The sequence below is a fragment of the Homo sapiens genome, chromosome 12 (genome assembly GCF_000001405.40).
Source record: "Homo sapiens chromosome 12, GRCh38.p14 Primary Assembly".
NCBI lineage: Eukaryota > Metazoa > Chordata > Mammalia > Primates > Hominidae > Homo > Homo sapiens.
Genome location: NC_000012.12, coordinates 10,801,242 through 10,816,245, shown reverse-complemented (window position 1 = coordinate 10,816,245; position 15,004 = coordinate 10,801,242). Strand labels below are relative to the sequence as shown.

The 15,004-nt window shown below is 34.6% G+C and overlaps 3 protein-coding genes across 3 annotated transcripts; all 3 read left to right on the top strand.

The window, feature by feature from the left end:
• Positions 1-6,077: 6,077 nt before the first annotated feature.
• TAS2R9 (taste 2 receptor member 9) lies at positions 6,078-7,152 on the top strand. Its single transcript, NM_023917.2, has one exon. It carries the CDS (start codon positions 6,171-6,173, stop codon positions 7,107-7,109), a length of 939 nt encoding a protein of 312 aa, NP_076406.1. The 5' UTR covers positions 6,078-6,170; the 3' UTR covers positions 7,110-7,152.
• A 1,807-nt stretch (positions 7,153-8,959) lies between these two features.
• TAS2R8 (taste 2 receptor member 8) lies at positions 8,960-10,195 on the top strand. Its single transcript, NM_023918.3, has one exon. The coding sequence runs from the start codon at positions 9,266-9,268 to the stop codon at positions 10,193-10,195; it is 930 nt and encodes a 309-aa protein (NP_076407.1). The 5' UTR covers positions 8,960-9,265.
• Positions 10,196-13,618: 3,423 nt separating this feature from the next.
• On the top strand, positions 13,619-14,714 carry TAS2R7 (taste 2 receptor member 7). Its single transcript, NM_023919.2, has one exon. It carries the CDS (start codon positions 13,676-13,678, stop codon positions 14,630-14,632), a length of 957 nt encoding a protein of 318 aa, NP_076408.1. The 5' UTR covers positions 13,619-13,675; the 3' UTR covers positions 14,633-14,714.
• The last annotated feature ends 290 nt before the right edge of the window (positions 14,715-15,004 follow it).

Here is a 15,004-nt window from a genome sequence, read left to right as displayed (position 1 = left end):
ATTCTTGATTGTCAATTCAGAAAGCAGACAGTGGGTTTTAAAATAACAAGGCATAGTTGAGTTCATTCAGTCACCTTGAGAGCACCCATTTTTTCTAGGAGACTGGATGTTCTCAAGGAGCAGCCTGTCCATCTTGCATCCCCCAGGTTCTCCGGATTCTCCATTTCCAAGCAGAAGAAGCAGGACTGGAGCACCCTTCCATATCATCAGCCTTCTCCTCGCACCAGACCTTACTCACCAGGGCCTGGGACTGTGGGTTGGACTTCTCCCTCTTTTGCTATCTTCAGCTCCTGATCTGGCTAGCATCTTCTGTGAACAGGGACAAGCCTTGCTTCTTCTGCTATCTTCCATGGAAGAAGCCAGCCCAGGGCTCAGGGAAGACTTAATGAGGCATACAGGGAAAAAAAAAAAAAAATATATATATATATATATATATATATATATGTGTATATATATATATATGTATATATATATATGTATATATATATATATAAAATAAAAATATTAAATGTGAGTTTTCCAACTTTGTTCTCCTTTTTAAAGATTGTTTTGGGTATTCGGATTCCCTTGTAATTTCACCTGAATTTGAGCATTAGTTTTCCTCTTTCTGAAACGAAGTCTGTAGAAATTTTTGATAGGAATTTTAATGAATCTTTAGATTGCTTTGGGTAGTATTGATATCTTAACAGTATCAAGTCATCTTATCCATGAACATGGGATGTCTTTCTACTTACTTGTGTCTTCCTTAATGTCTTTCAGCAATGTTTCATCAATTTTTGTATATAAGTATTTTGCTTCTTTGGTGAAATTTATTCCTAGTTATTTCATTATTTTGGAATTGTTTTCTTAATTTACCTTTTATATTCACTGTTCAGATTGCTGGTGTGTAGAAACACAACACAGTTTTATGTGTTGATCTTCTACCTACAACTGGAGTTTTAAGATTTTTATAGTATACAAATGTTCTTTTCTTATTTTTAAAAAATTTTTTGACATCCTAAGCCTTACAAAATTTCTTATAAACTTTACTCCACATATTCATATAGGTATCTCCTCACCCCATTATAGTTTTTGTTAATGTAGCCTCCAAAATGTTGAAAAAAGTTCTATGTTTAGTAAACGTCTGAAACCTATATATCTGAGAATATTTTTACTTAACCTGAACATTTAGATGTGTTGTCAAATATAAATAAATAATTTATTGTGTTTAAGTTGAAATGCTGTTAAAATCATTTTATTTATGCCATTGCAGAGAGAAACAAAATAGTCACCTGTCCATTAATATTATGAGATGCACTGGGCATTAATATTGAATAAAGAAAAGAACTACATATGAAGGAAAAAAACAACTAAGTCCATTTAAGTTTGTTTACATTTTCAGTGAGTAATGGAAAACAAAACAAATTGTTAAACCATAACTATTATGTTGCCATATTTTATGATTTCATGTGACTGGCATTGTCTTAGTCCATTTTGCTGCTATAAAAAGTATCTGAGATGAGGTAGTTTATAAATAACAGAAATTTATTTTTTCATAGTGCTGAAGGCTAGAAAGTCCAAGACTAAGGCAGTGGCAGGTTTGGTGTCTGGTGAGGGCTTCGTCACTGCTTCCAACATGGAACCTTGAATGCTGTATCTTTTCATGGCAGAAGAGGGGAAAGGTTAAAAGACCTATTTAGTTCCCTTCAGGCCTTTTAATCCCATCATAATGGCAAACCCATCATAATCATCTCCTAAAAGGCCCCACCTCTTAATATTGTTGCATTAGGGATTACATTTCCACATGAATTTTGAAGAAAATACAAACATTCAAACTATGGCAATCATAAAATGTGAAATTTGGCCAAATATTATGGATAGGAAATTGTAATTAAGACACATTAATAAAGGCTCTATAGCAAAACAACTAGATAAGAGAATCGTGATTTATTGAATGGAATGCCAAAAAATTCAATAATAATAGTACCTAAAATTTTTTGAGTATATATGGTAAGAACTATTCTAAGTATTTTAAATGCAAGACTTTATTTAAGTATAATATTTCTATGAGATAGATAGCACTATGATCAATGTTTTACACATTGGAGAAAGAAAAGATTCAGCACAATTTAAATCACACAATCATTAAAACTGAGAATAAGCTTCAACTCCAGCTGTCTGGCACCAGAGCTGAAGCTCTTAACTGTTATATATATTTCAAGCCTTGTCCAAATTTTGTTATTTAGCAAATAAATTATTTGTCTCCATGGATCCCAAATATTCTATTTCTTCACCATTTTTATACAAATAGACAAGACTATTCCCAATATGCTATTATAATAAAGTGTTTTATGCTTGAATTATTGACTCTATATAGTTATCCATTAATTAAGACTGTTCCTCTTCTTAAAGAGACATGCATATTTCTCATTCATGTTATCCCTTCTCAACAGGGGTCTTTATATTGCTCTGTTTTCATGAGGTTCACATGTACCCCCATACATCTGTACAACTATTATATGTCCATAATTAAATTTTAAAAAAAGAAAAATACAACAAACAAGATTACTGAATGAATTTTTTTAAAAAATAGAAGATTATTTCATCCAACAAAAAGATAGGGGAACTTTAGCAAAAAGAATGGTGGTGAAATTTAGTATATTTAACTACTTAATTTCAGGTAGAAAGCAAAAATCAAGGAAGGAAGACTGGCTTATGATTGTGACAAGGAAAGGTAATATTTTGTATAGAGTGATGACAGGAGATAATGAACTGCTGTATGTCTTGTGAGGAATTAGACGGAGAATAATCTGGCCAGGCACAGTGACTCACACTTGTAATCTTAACATTTTGGGAGGCCAAGGCAGGAGGATCACTAGAGGCCAGGAGTTCAAGAACAGCCTAAGCAACACAGTGAAACTTTGTCTCAAAAAAAAAAAAAAAAAAAAGGAAAAAGGAAAGAGAGTAGAGTAATCTGAAAGTTACGAGAGGGAAAGAAAAACACCCATCCCAGCTTTAGACCCACTTCTATGAGGGTGTGAGAGAGAAAACAGCTGCCACAGGATTTAATTGTAGAGTATTAAAATGAAAAGATTCATGGACATGAGTGATGAATGAACTGGGAGGGGCACCAAATTATATACTTATTTTTATTAATCCTTAGCTTAAGTCTAGTATTTCTTCTGTCTTGAATGTAAGTAACAAGCACATACCATACCAGCAGTATCTGTAATTTTTTCACTTCAGGAAGCCAAAAATTTTTGTCGTTACAGGTACCTCCTATTGTCATTTACTTTCACCACTAGTCTTTATCTGCCAGATATTTTTGTTATGTCAATTAAAAAGCACATAAATTCCTATATTATATTAACAATATATTTCATACTGCAAGAAAAAGGCATATATATATGGATTCCTTATACATTTCAAATATTTTTATTTCATGCACTTAAAAACATTATTCTGAAATTATAGCATGCACCAGACTGGCAAAGTAGTCCATTGAACAAAAAAGTTCCAGAACCTCGAGTTCAAATGAAGAAAATAAAGTGAACTGTTAGAGAAACAAATGAGAATATATGGCTTCTGCTAATGGTTTACTAGGGATCCCAATGGATATAGTGAAGAGTTTAGAATGGGGTAGGAGATAAAGTCAGCAACTATTCAAAATATAAGTTGTCAGAAAATAGGACAGTATCGCAGTATCCTGTTCTTGATTTATAAATCTGAAGAGTATAGTCATTTCTCTTGATCAGTAATAATCAGTGGCATAACTCAAGGACAAATGCCTGTAAAAGATGTAAGGTTCTAAAGAATGGTAAAAAGTATTTAAACAAAGGAAAGAAAATGAAATTTAAGAAATATCTGCCTAAGTAGGTTTGTGTTTGCTCACTTCTCATAGAAAGACATACAGGAAATGATGTCATAAGTTTCCCAGTATTTCATCTGTTTTCTAGTAGAGACAGAAATAATCAATAAACTAACATTCTAGATTAAAGTGTTTCTGCAATGAAAATAGATGTTAAAGTCTGTCAGCTAGGATCCCTCTTTAACTTCTCAATGCTAAGATAAAATCCAAAGGGCAAATAACACATAAACTCACACACACACACAATACACACAAAAAAAACATATTCAACGGTGTCAAATAAATTGAGATCATTTGGGTTTTATTTATAGCAAGGAAAGATAAAAGAGGGTGGCATTTTAGTAAGTATAGGCCCTTAGGTAACTCTGGTCATATCCTATAGCATATTTTCGTTTACATTTGAATATAGGCATAACTTTCTTAAATTGATCAGTATTCCACACGGCTAAGGAAAAGAAGTGAGGTAGTGGGAAAGACCATGATTCAGAAGGCAAGCTTGGATTCTATATCTGGATTTACCAGGAATTTTTAATATGTCAGTTATTAATCACCCTCCTACATGATATATTTTCATCTTCATCTTTTCTGGACATTACAAATTGATCCCAGAGTAGTTCCATTTCCAAATAATAACCTTGAACCTACTTTATTCCCCTCCACAAAATTTTATCTTTCAAAAAGTTTAATTAAAATAATGAAATATTGCATTCCCTGAGATGTGAACATGGTGCGACCTTGTCTGTCAGTTGCATGCAAATCAATTTCTTTACTCTAGTGAAGTCCTTCTCAGAATATTACCTGTTTTATGGCTTTGGTCATGACAAGCACAGTGTGTATTTTTGAGTTGTATAATCTGATATTTCTTCAGAAACAAAATTCACAGAGAAGCATGAAAGAAACCCCAAATTTCACTGAATAGAATAACAATAGCTATTTACTTTCTCATAAAAATCTGCAAGATTAATTTTTATCTCTTTATTTTGTCTAAAACCCTGAACATATGACACATTATCTCATTAAATACTTTGTATTGTTGTGTTTGTTTGATAAGCAATATTTAATATTGCCTTAAAATTTAATATTAGTTTCAAAATAATATTTCTGGGAACTGTGTATTGCTGTGTGCCTTTTTCTATTATTTCAAATATGTTCTACTATGCCCAATGACATGTTTCAATATGTCCCAATGAAACAGTGTGTTTCCAATGTGTGTATAATTAGCATACTAATATTTATAATACACCTGCTGCCAAAAAATAGAGCTAAGAAAATTCAGAGCATGTATTCTTATCACTCAGTTCAGACTGAAGAGTCTTGTATATCTATCACGCTTTTTAGTTCCAAAAATATCACTTTCTTGCTCTTTGTCCTCCTCACTGTTCAGGCTGATCTGTTTCCATTCTAAAGATAAGTGACCAGTATTTTGACTATTTTTTCTATGTATGGAAGCTACATTCAGGTACAAAGCAAGAACACTCTAAGAAACCCTAACATCTAAACCAGAATTTTCCGTGTCTCATTTGCTGACAACACTACAATGTCATGTTTATTTCCCTCATTGTATCTTCAGTTGAGAAGACAAACACTGCAGAGCTTTTTGAGGATATTGGGAATTACCTAATTAATGTATTTCTCAATGCCCTAGTGAATGGAGTGTCCTTTTGGCCCTCTTAAGTCATATAATGGGGAGAAGGTGAAGTTCGCATATGATAAATTCACCTTAATACTCCTATCTTCCTACACCTTTAGATTCTTTCCTCTACATTCCACCAGTTATGCCATTTAAGCCTCATTTAATGTTAATAATAATTTGTTTAAAGCTTTAGTCAACCAAGCAAGCAAACTGGCCACACAAGCTAACACAGTAAACCTAGAATCTGTAATAGCAATAACTATGTCAATATACTAACAAGGATGGATAGTCATCCAGCAAATTAAATTCTAGCCATATTTTCCAAGTAATTGATACCTTCTTGAAGTTCCTGGTCAACAGCTCAGATTGATAAATCCAAAATATACAGAGCTTAAAATAAGAAAGAGTGTGCAAATTTAAGAAATCAGATCCATTCCCATTTGCATCCTAGAGGCTTTCAGTCATCACTGCACCAAAGGAAATTACTGGCCCCAATCATTGAAGTCTTTAGGCAGCTCTAGCCCAGAGCAGGACTGGCTATCTTCTTCATCTGCATCACAGCTAACAAAAAGGAGAGATAAAGACAACTATATCATGGTCTAAGAGGCAGACAGATACATTGTTCTTCACTGGTCAGCTGAAAGTCAATTCATCATCAGTGATATTCAAAAATCACAAGTCTTTGCTGGCATGCCAAGTGCAATAGAGGCAATATATATTATTTTAATTGCTGGTGAATTGACCATAGGGATTTGGGGAAATGGATTCATTGTACTAGTTAACTGCATTGACTGGCTCAAAAGAAGAGATATTTCCTTGATTGACATCATCCTGATCAGCTTGGCCATCTCCAGAATCTGTCTGCTGTGTGTAATATCATTAGATGGCTTCTTTATGCTGCTCTTTCCAGGTACATATGGCAATAGCGTGCTAGTAAGCATTGTGAATGTTGTCTGGACATTTGCCAATAATTCAAGTCTCTGGTTTACTTCTTGCCTCAGTATCTTCTATTTACTCAAGATAGCCAATATATCGCACCCATTTTTCTTCTGGCTGAAGCTAAAGATCAACAAGGTCATGCTTGCGATTCTTCTGGGGTCCTTTCTTATCTCTTTAATTATTAGTGTTCCAAAGAATGATGATATGTGGTATCACCTTTTCAAAGTCAGTCATGAAGAAAACATTACTTGGAAATTCAAAGTGAGTAAAATTCCAGGTACTTTCAAACAGTTAACCCTGAACCTGGGGGTGATGGTTCCCTTTATCCTTTGCCTGATCTCATTTTTCTTGTTACTTTTCTCCCTAGTTAGACACACCAAGCAGATTCGACTGCATGCTACAGGGTTCAGAGACCCCAGTACAGAGGCCCACATGAGGGCCATAAAGGCAGTGATCATCTTTCTGCTCCTCCTCATCGTGTACTACCCAGTCTTTCTTGTTATGACCTCTAGCGCTCTGATTCCTCAGGGAAAATTAGTGTTGATGATTGGTGACATAGTAACTGTCATTTTCCCATCAAGCCATTCATTCATTCTAATTATGGGAAATAGCAAGTTGAGGGAAGCTTTTCTGAAGATGTTAAGATTTGTGAAGTGTTTCCTTAGAAGAAGAAAGCCTTTTGTTCCATAGAGACCCCTAAAGAGTATCCTGACTACAAGGATGAAAGAAATCAACAAAAGGCATTCTCCCTTCTCTTGTTTGCATTCATTTTCTCTTATATGCTATTGGAAGTCATTAATATCTGTCATGATTCTGAAGATTTGTTTTGTGTTCCTTCACACTTTTGTCTTGTTTAATGGATAATCTAATGTTATCATTGCACCGTATATTCTTTGTCGTTGCAGAAAAAAAAAATGCATCTAAATCCCACACTAACATTTCATCATTTTATGTCATTGACTAAATACAAAGAGGTTCTACTTCTTTTCTGACAAATACTGGCAAAGGCCTTGAACTCAATGAGTAGAAGAATGTCAGGCAAACAGGCTTTGGGGAAAAGATTTTAGAACTCATCAACCCTTGCTATAAAATCAATCATGCAAAACAACTCTCTACTTTGAAATGAAGGCCGGTCCTTATCTTCACCGCCCTTTCCTCTCCATTTCTGGAAGGGTTTGTCTTGATCAAGAAGGGAGAAAAACAATCTTTAATGAGATTCTATCTAAGATGATATATGATGTGGGAAAAGGAGTATAATCTCAAGAATGAAAGTTTGACAGAGAGAGGAGGCACAGTTATGTATAGCAGAACCACCTTGAGAAAGAAGGTTGAGGGTCCCAGTAGTCAGCGTGTTCATGAGTACTCTAGCTGGTGATGGCAATTTTAGAAGTCATTTCCCAAAGATTCCCTGGAATGTTCTCTCTAGCCTTCTAACTCAGAAATCTCTGACATATTTTTTTCCCTCTGCATCATTTTCTTTTCTATTTTGTTTCCAGCAGTAGTTTATAGATAACTAGGTTTCTTTAAGTTATTAAGTTTATGCTTTCCTGTTACACATTACACACATGTAAGAAATAGAAAAAATCCTGCATGTGTTGTATACATTGTAGAACTATTTAAATACAAGAAGCCCTAGGGTATTGTGATTTGTATTACCTACATTCAAATGTATTTTGGGCTAAGTTGTACTTTCCCTTACCCCAAAACAAATAAATCTAATTTAATAGTAGAATTAGTCCTATTCCTTGGAAATACTGGTATGTAAAAAAAAAAAATTATTATTATTATTTTGAGACAGAGTCTCACTGTATCGCCCAGGTTGGAGTGCAGTGGCACGATCTTGGCTCACTGCAACCTCTGCCTCCCGGTTCAAATGATCCCCCTGCCTCAGTCTCCCAAGTAGTTACTTTTTTATGTGTTTGCCCTATCTAGAAATATGACTATAATATGCACTGTGAGATTACAAATCTTATAAAAGGAGTTGATTGGAACTAGAATAATGTAAAATTTAAATTTTCTTAATTTTAGATTACAATGCTTATTATACAAGAGACAGTGATTCAGGAAATGAATTGTCTTCAAGGGTATTTGTCACATTAAAAAAAAACTAAAGATAACAAATCTTTACCTGGCATATTTCACTTCTGAGGAACAATTGAAAAGAAAGCAAATTCTTAGTAAATATTATCATGTGCCTGCCTAAAAAAAAGTCATTTCTAATTAGATTTGTATTATATCCTTCCCTAATTAGCCGTTTAAATGAAGACAAGAATTATTATCCTCTGACTAAATGTTAAATATCTACAATCTAATTGTACTAATTACTTCCAAAGTGAAAATTTCTTTGCATCTGGGAGAACTGATTTGTGGCTTATTTATAACTTACATGATGAAAATGAAGTTTTATTTACACAGTTGGGTTTTTATTAAACATTTATCTCTTTTTTTATGACTCCCTATTCAAAACTCAATTTGAAGATCCAAATATAGAGCTACAGCAAGAAGCCTGTTGCAAATTCATGATATAAAATCTCTTTGAATTTGCATGGGAGCAATTTCAGCCAAACATTTCAGGTATCACTCACTAAAGGATAATAATTATAATTTTTCCAGGCTATAAATAACTAGTCAAGCTGCTCATTAGTTGGTTTCATCTTCAGGAGTGTAGAGACAATCCTATTTCAGAGGAGAGCTGAACACTTCCGGAAGAATAACAACGTCGAAATAACAGCAGATGAAAACATTATTGCATGATTCGAAGAATTGATCTATCATGCTTTAACAGGTCACCTGTAAATTAGCTCATCTACAGTGATATTTGAAATCAGATTGTTCTCTCTACAAACATGTTCAGTCCTGCAGATAACATCTTTATAATCCTAATAACTGGAGAATTCATACTAGGAATATTGGGGAATGGATACATTGCACTAGTCAACTGGATTGACTGGATTAAGAAGAAAAAGATTTCCACAGTTGACTACATCCTTACCAATTTAGTTATCGCCAGAATTTGTTTGATCAGTGTAATGGTTGTAAATGGCATTGTAATAGTACTGAACCCAGATGTTTATACAAAAAATAAACAACAGATAGTCATTTTTACCTTCTGGACATTTGCCAACTACTTAAATATGTGGATTACCACCTGCCTTAATGTCTTCTATTTTCTGAAGATAGCCAGTTCCTCTCATCCACTTTTTCTCTGGCTGAAGTGGAAAATTGATATGGTGGTGCACTGGATCCTGCTGGGATGCTTTGCCATTTCCTTGTTGGTCAGCCTTATAGCAGCAATAGTACTGAGTTGTGATTATAGGTTTCATGCAATTGCCAAACATAAAAGAAACATTACTGAAATGTTCCATGTGAGTAAAATACCATACTTTGAACCCTTGACTCTCTTTAACCTGTTTGCAATTGTCCCATTTATTGTGTCACTGATATCATTTTTCCTTTTAGTAAGATCTTTATGGAGACATACCAAGCAAATAAAACTCTATGCTACCGGCAGTAGAGACCCCAGCACAGAAGTTCATGTGAGAGCCATTAAAACTATGACTTCATTTATCTTCTTTTTTTTCCTATACTATATTTCTTCTATTTTGATGACCTTTAGCTATCTTATGACAAAATACAAGTTAGCTGTGGAGTTTGGAGAGATTGCAGCAATTCTCTACCCCTTGGGTCACTCACTTATTTTAATTGTTTTAAATAATAAACTGAGGCAGACATTTGTCAGAATGCTGACATGTAGAAAAATTGCCTGCATGATATGAAATCTTAGCTGTATAAATGGAATTTAAAACCAAATCTTCTCTAACAAAAAATATAGTTTTCTTAATAGTCTATTCTCATTTTTCCCCAGTTATCTCATTTATTTTGGATGCATATCTTTAAATATTATTAGGACCTAGTAGCAAACTACTGAATACATCTTTTCTATCCCTTTACAACTCAGAAATGCTCATCTTTACACTCCCTTTCCTCGAAGAATTTCAGAGCTCATGCTTCTCTTCTTGTCTCCTCAACGCAAGTGTTAGGCCTGTATTGCCTAGTTAAAGTCTTTTTAGATTTTACTTTGGCTCATGGTAAAGTGGACCTGAGCTACAGTAACTGGTTTCTCATTTTTCTTTGTCATACATTTTTATTGCCGCTCCTTAATTGTGCTCCTTTCATGGCTCTGCTGAGTCACCCCCATTTGGCTTATTGATTAGGAACTCAGATGTTCTCTGGTCTGTCTTTGGTTTTCCCGAATGATGATTTCCATGGTCTCCTAGGTAATATTTTCTGGTTGACCTTATTCTGATGATTTCTATTGATTTTCCTTGGAATTAAATTTCCTCTCAAACAACTTGCTTTTCATGCAGCACCTAGGTGGGAATCGAACCCATTCAAGTGCCACCCACCAAGGGGTGTTCCTAAGCCCTCTTCACAATCTGGATAAAAGAATGGGGATAACAAATATTAGTCAGACTGCTCAATCAGGTTCTTTTCTCTAACCAGACCCTGCAAAGGTTTTCACTCAGGACTTAACAAAAGAAATAAATTGGGAAGAAAATAGCGTATACCATGGAATAAGCACATACTGTCCCTGGAAGAAGAAACGAATGTTTACAAAAAATACAGATAAATTTTTATTAAAAAAAAAAGGAAAATAAGTCACTAAAATTTTTAATTTTTCTGTGAACATGAAATCCATCCTCACTATAATATTATTGAAACGTTTGGTCTGGCATATCTCAGGTTGTGTATGTACTAATATGGCTGTACATTATTGCTTTTACTCCCATTACTTTCTGTTTAATTCTGATGTATTTCAATCTACTAATTTCCTTTTATTATAACTAAAATACTAATTACCGGAAAATTATCAGTTGTTTGTCTTATTATTATGTAAAACTCACTCTGTAAAGTACTAATATTTATAGCCCCAAGTATATAAATTTTATGAACTATATTTCTAATATGCTAGCTGTATATGTTACTCTTTGTTTTACAAGACACAAGAATTCATGTTCTCTTGATGAAATATATTAATGTATTCTACAAAATACAGGTAGATTTTATACTAGGATGAACTTTATATTTTTCCTAAGGTTTAAGTGAAATAAACGTTTTATTGAATTAGTACTTTTGGGAAGGTTTTACCCCATTAGGGTTAAGTTTTTTTCTTCCATATTTTGTTTCCTGCCTCTCTAATGTTTCAAGCATCTCTAGTGACCACAGTGACTGGGGTTCAAAGTAGTAAGCTTTTGACAAAATGCTCTCTCATAGAACTTTTTTTTTAACTATATATTCACATAACTTCACGCTATACAACATTGGTATTCATAAAATCTACATTTATTTCCAAAACTAAACAAAAACAAGTCTAAAAATTATTTGAGAAAATACATCATCATAGTTCCCATGAGCACTTCATTTACCAGGATAAACTGTAGGGTAAAAATGATGAGTCTAGGCCAGGCACAGTGGCTCACACCTGTAATCCCAGAACTTTGGGAGGCCAAGGCACACGGATCGCCTGAGGTCGGGAGTTCAAGACCAGCCTGACCAACATGGAGAAACCCGGAATCTACTAAAAATACAAAATTAGCCAGGCATGGTTGCACCTGCCTGTAATCCCAGCTACTTGGCAGGCTCAGGCAGGAGAATCACTTGAACCTGGGAGATGGAGGTTGCGGTGAGCCAAAATAGCACTCCAGCCTGAGCAACAAGAACGAAATTCCATCTCAAAAAAAAAACAAAAGAAATGATAAGTCTAGGTCAGGGATCATATCCAAGATCGTCCTATCATAGGTGATGTTCCAGTTGCCTGTGAACATGGCTACATAATCATACAGATTGTCCAAAAGTTAAGGCTACATCTCCGGAATGATGGTTTGTCCTTTAAGGAAGGATAAGAGAAGACATGCATTCCCAGGAAGGTGTGAATACCCAAGAACTATTCTATGGAACCCCATGTAGTAAAGCGCTTCTCAGTAACTCTAAATTAGAGAAGCTATTTCAAACTAAAAATTCATCTCTAGAGATGTGGAAAGTTTAATCTTCAGTCTCCTGCTAGAAGGGTTGAGGATCTAGATACTCATGCAATTTGTATGGAGGACAGTGGAGAGAATGAAATACAGAATTTTACTATCTCCTCTCTCATGCATACAACTACCCTTGAGAACATTTTTTAAATTTTTGAAATCTTTATGAAAGTATAATTGGTATAAAAAGAACCGCATATATTTAATGTATAAAATTTCAAACACCCATGATATCTTCACCACAAACAAGGTAATGGACATATCTAATACCTCTCAAAGTTTCCTTGAGAACATTTTAAGTGAAAATGAAAAATTTAAGGTAATCAATAGTCTTTTTTTATTACAGGTCCTCTACCTTATTATATATAACATTGCTAAATAACCATTAAAAGTCATTTAGTCAGTAAGACAATGTGTTGTATTAAGAGACACTATGCCATGTAATTGTTCATCTGAACAGCCAAAATAATGACCTAAAGTTTCTTTGGAATCAAATAACCTACATTTAGTGTTAACTTTTTAAAGTTCCTGAAAATATATAACTCTCACTATGGAACCAAACTTTGGATTCTTTACTAATTATCAATATTAACATTCAGCAAAATAAAAATTCTTCAAGAACTTTCCAATTTTACCAGTTTTATACTTGCTACCAAATTCTTGATGTTCAGGTTGCCAGAATGGAACACTCAATCTAATTTGAACTTCAGTACTTCCTGAAAGCACTGATCTTAAGTAATCAGGGACATACACTAAAAAATTATTGATTTTTTTACCTGTAATTCAAGTTTAACTGAGTGTCCTGAATTTTTAGTCGCTAAATCTAGCAACCCTATTGAGGTTACTAGCATACATCACAAATTAATGAATCCAAAATGCGTACACCTTAGCCTCAGAAAGACAATGCAGGACCATGAAAGGGAATTGGCCCAATTTGCATCTTAGTAAACAGTAGCTCAGCCTAAATTAACCGTATGTGGAAAATTACAACCTGCTGAGTAGGTAAATGGGCATACAGTGGCCAGGCCAAGGATCGCCAAACACATTGTTTGTCAAGACTAATTAGGATTTAATGAAGATAGCTCCAGTCTTCATTTATCATTCCAGTCTCCATCACAAAACAGACTACAACAAAGAGGTAAAGAAAACTACATCAAAATCTAAGAAGCAGGTGTGGATGTCAAACTCCATCAGGTCAACTAGAAACTAATTGCATATTTAAACATGGCAGATAAAGTGCAGACTACTTTATTGTTCTTAGCAGTTGGAGAGTTTTCAGTGGGGATCTTAGGGAATGCATTCATTGGATTGGTAAACTGCATGGACTGGGTCAAGAAGAGGAAAATTGCCTCCATTGATTTAATCCTCACAAGTCTGGCCATATCCAGAATTTGTCTATTGTGCGTAATACTATTAGATTGTTTTATATTGGTGCTATATCCAGATGTCTATGCCACTGGTAAAGAAATGAGAATCATTGACTTCTTCTGGACACTAACCAATCATTTAAGTATCTGGTTTGCAACCTGCCTCAGCATTTACTATTTCTTCAAGATAGGTAATTTCTTTCACCCACTTTTCCTCTGGATGAAGTGGAGAATTGACAGGGTGATTTCCTGGATTCTACTGGGGTGCGTGGTTCTCTCTGTGTTTATTAGCCTTCCAGCCACTGAGAATTTGAACGCTGATTTCAGGTTTTGTGTGAAGGCAAAGAGGAAAACAAACTTAACTTGGAGTTGCAGAGTAAATAAAACTCAACATGCTTCTACCAAGTTATTTCTCAACCTGGCAACGCTGCTCCCCTTTTGTGTGTGCCTAATGTCCTTTTTCCTCTTGATCCTCTCCCTGCGGAGACATATCAGGCGAATGCAGCTCAGTGCCACAGGGTGCAGAGACCCCAGCACAGAAGCCCATGTGAGAGCCCTGAAAGCTGTCATTTCCTTCCTTCTCCTCTTTATTGCCTACTATTTGTCCTTTCTCATTGCCACCTCCAGCTACTTTATGCCAGAGACGGAATTAGCTGTGATTTTTGGTGAGTCCATAGCTCTAATCTACCCCTCAAGTCATTCATTTATCCTAATACTGGGGAACAATAAATTAAGACATGCATCTCTAAAGGTGATTTGGAAAGTAATGTCTATTCTAAAAGGAAGAAAATTCCAACAACATAAACAAATCTGAAGAGAAACTATGCTTTTCTAGGACAAACAAAGATAAGATGTTTCTAAATTAACTTCAGTTCTTGCATTAATGTTTTATGTGATTAATTACTCCTAAAACTTAATTAGTGTATCTGTAATTGTAATGTAGGGAATCTTATGTACAGCTGGCTGGATCTCTTTATCTCTGTCTCTGTTTCTGACTCTGTCTGTGTATCCCTGTTTCTCTCTTCTGTAACTCTTCCTTTCTTTAGAGTTGCTGTTTTTTAAAACATGTTTCAGAGCAAATAGAAATTAATATCCTAATATCAACTATCAAGAGTAGAGGGCATTTTCATAGTTCTAAACCGTGTTTCCAGATGCAAAGTTGTGTGACTAATTCAAAACAACTGTA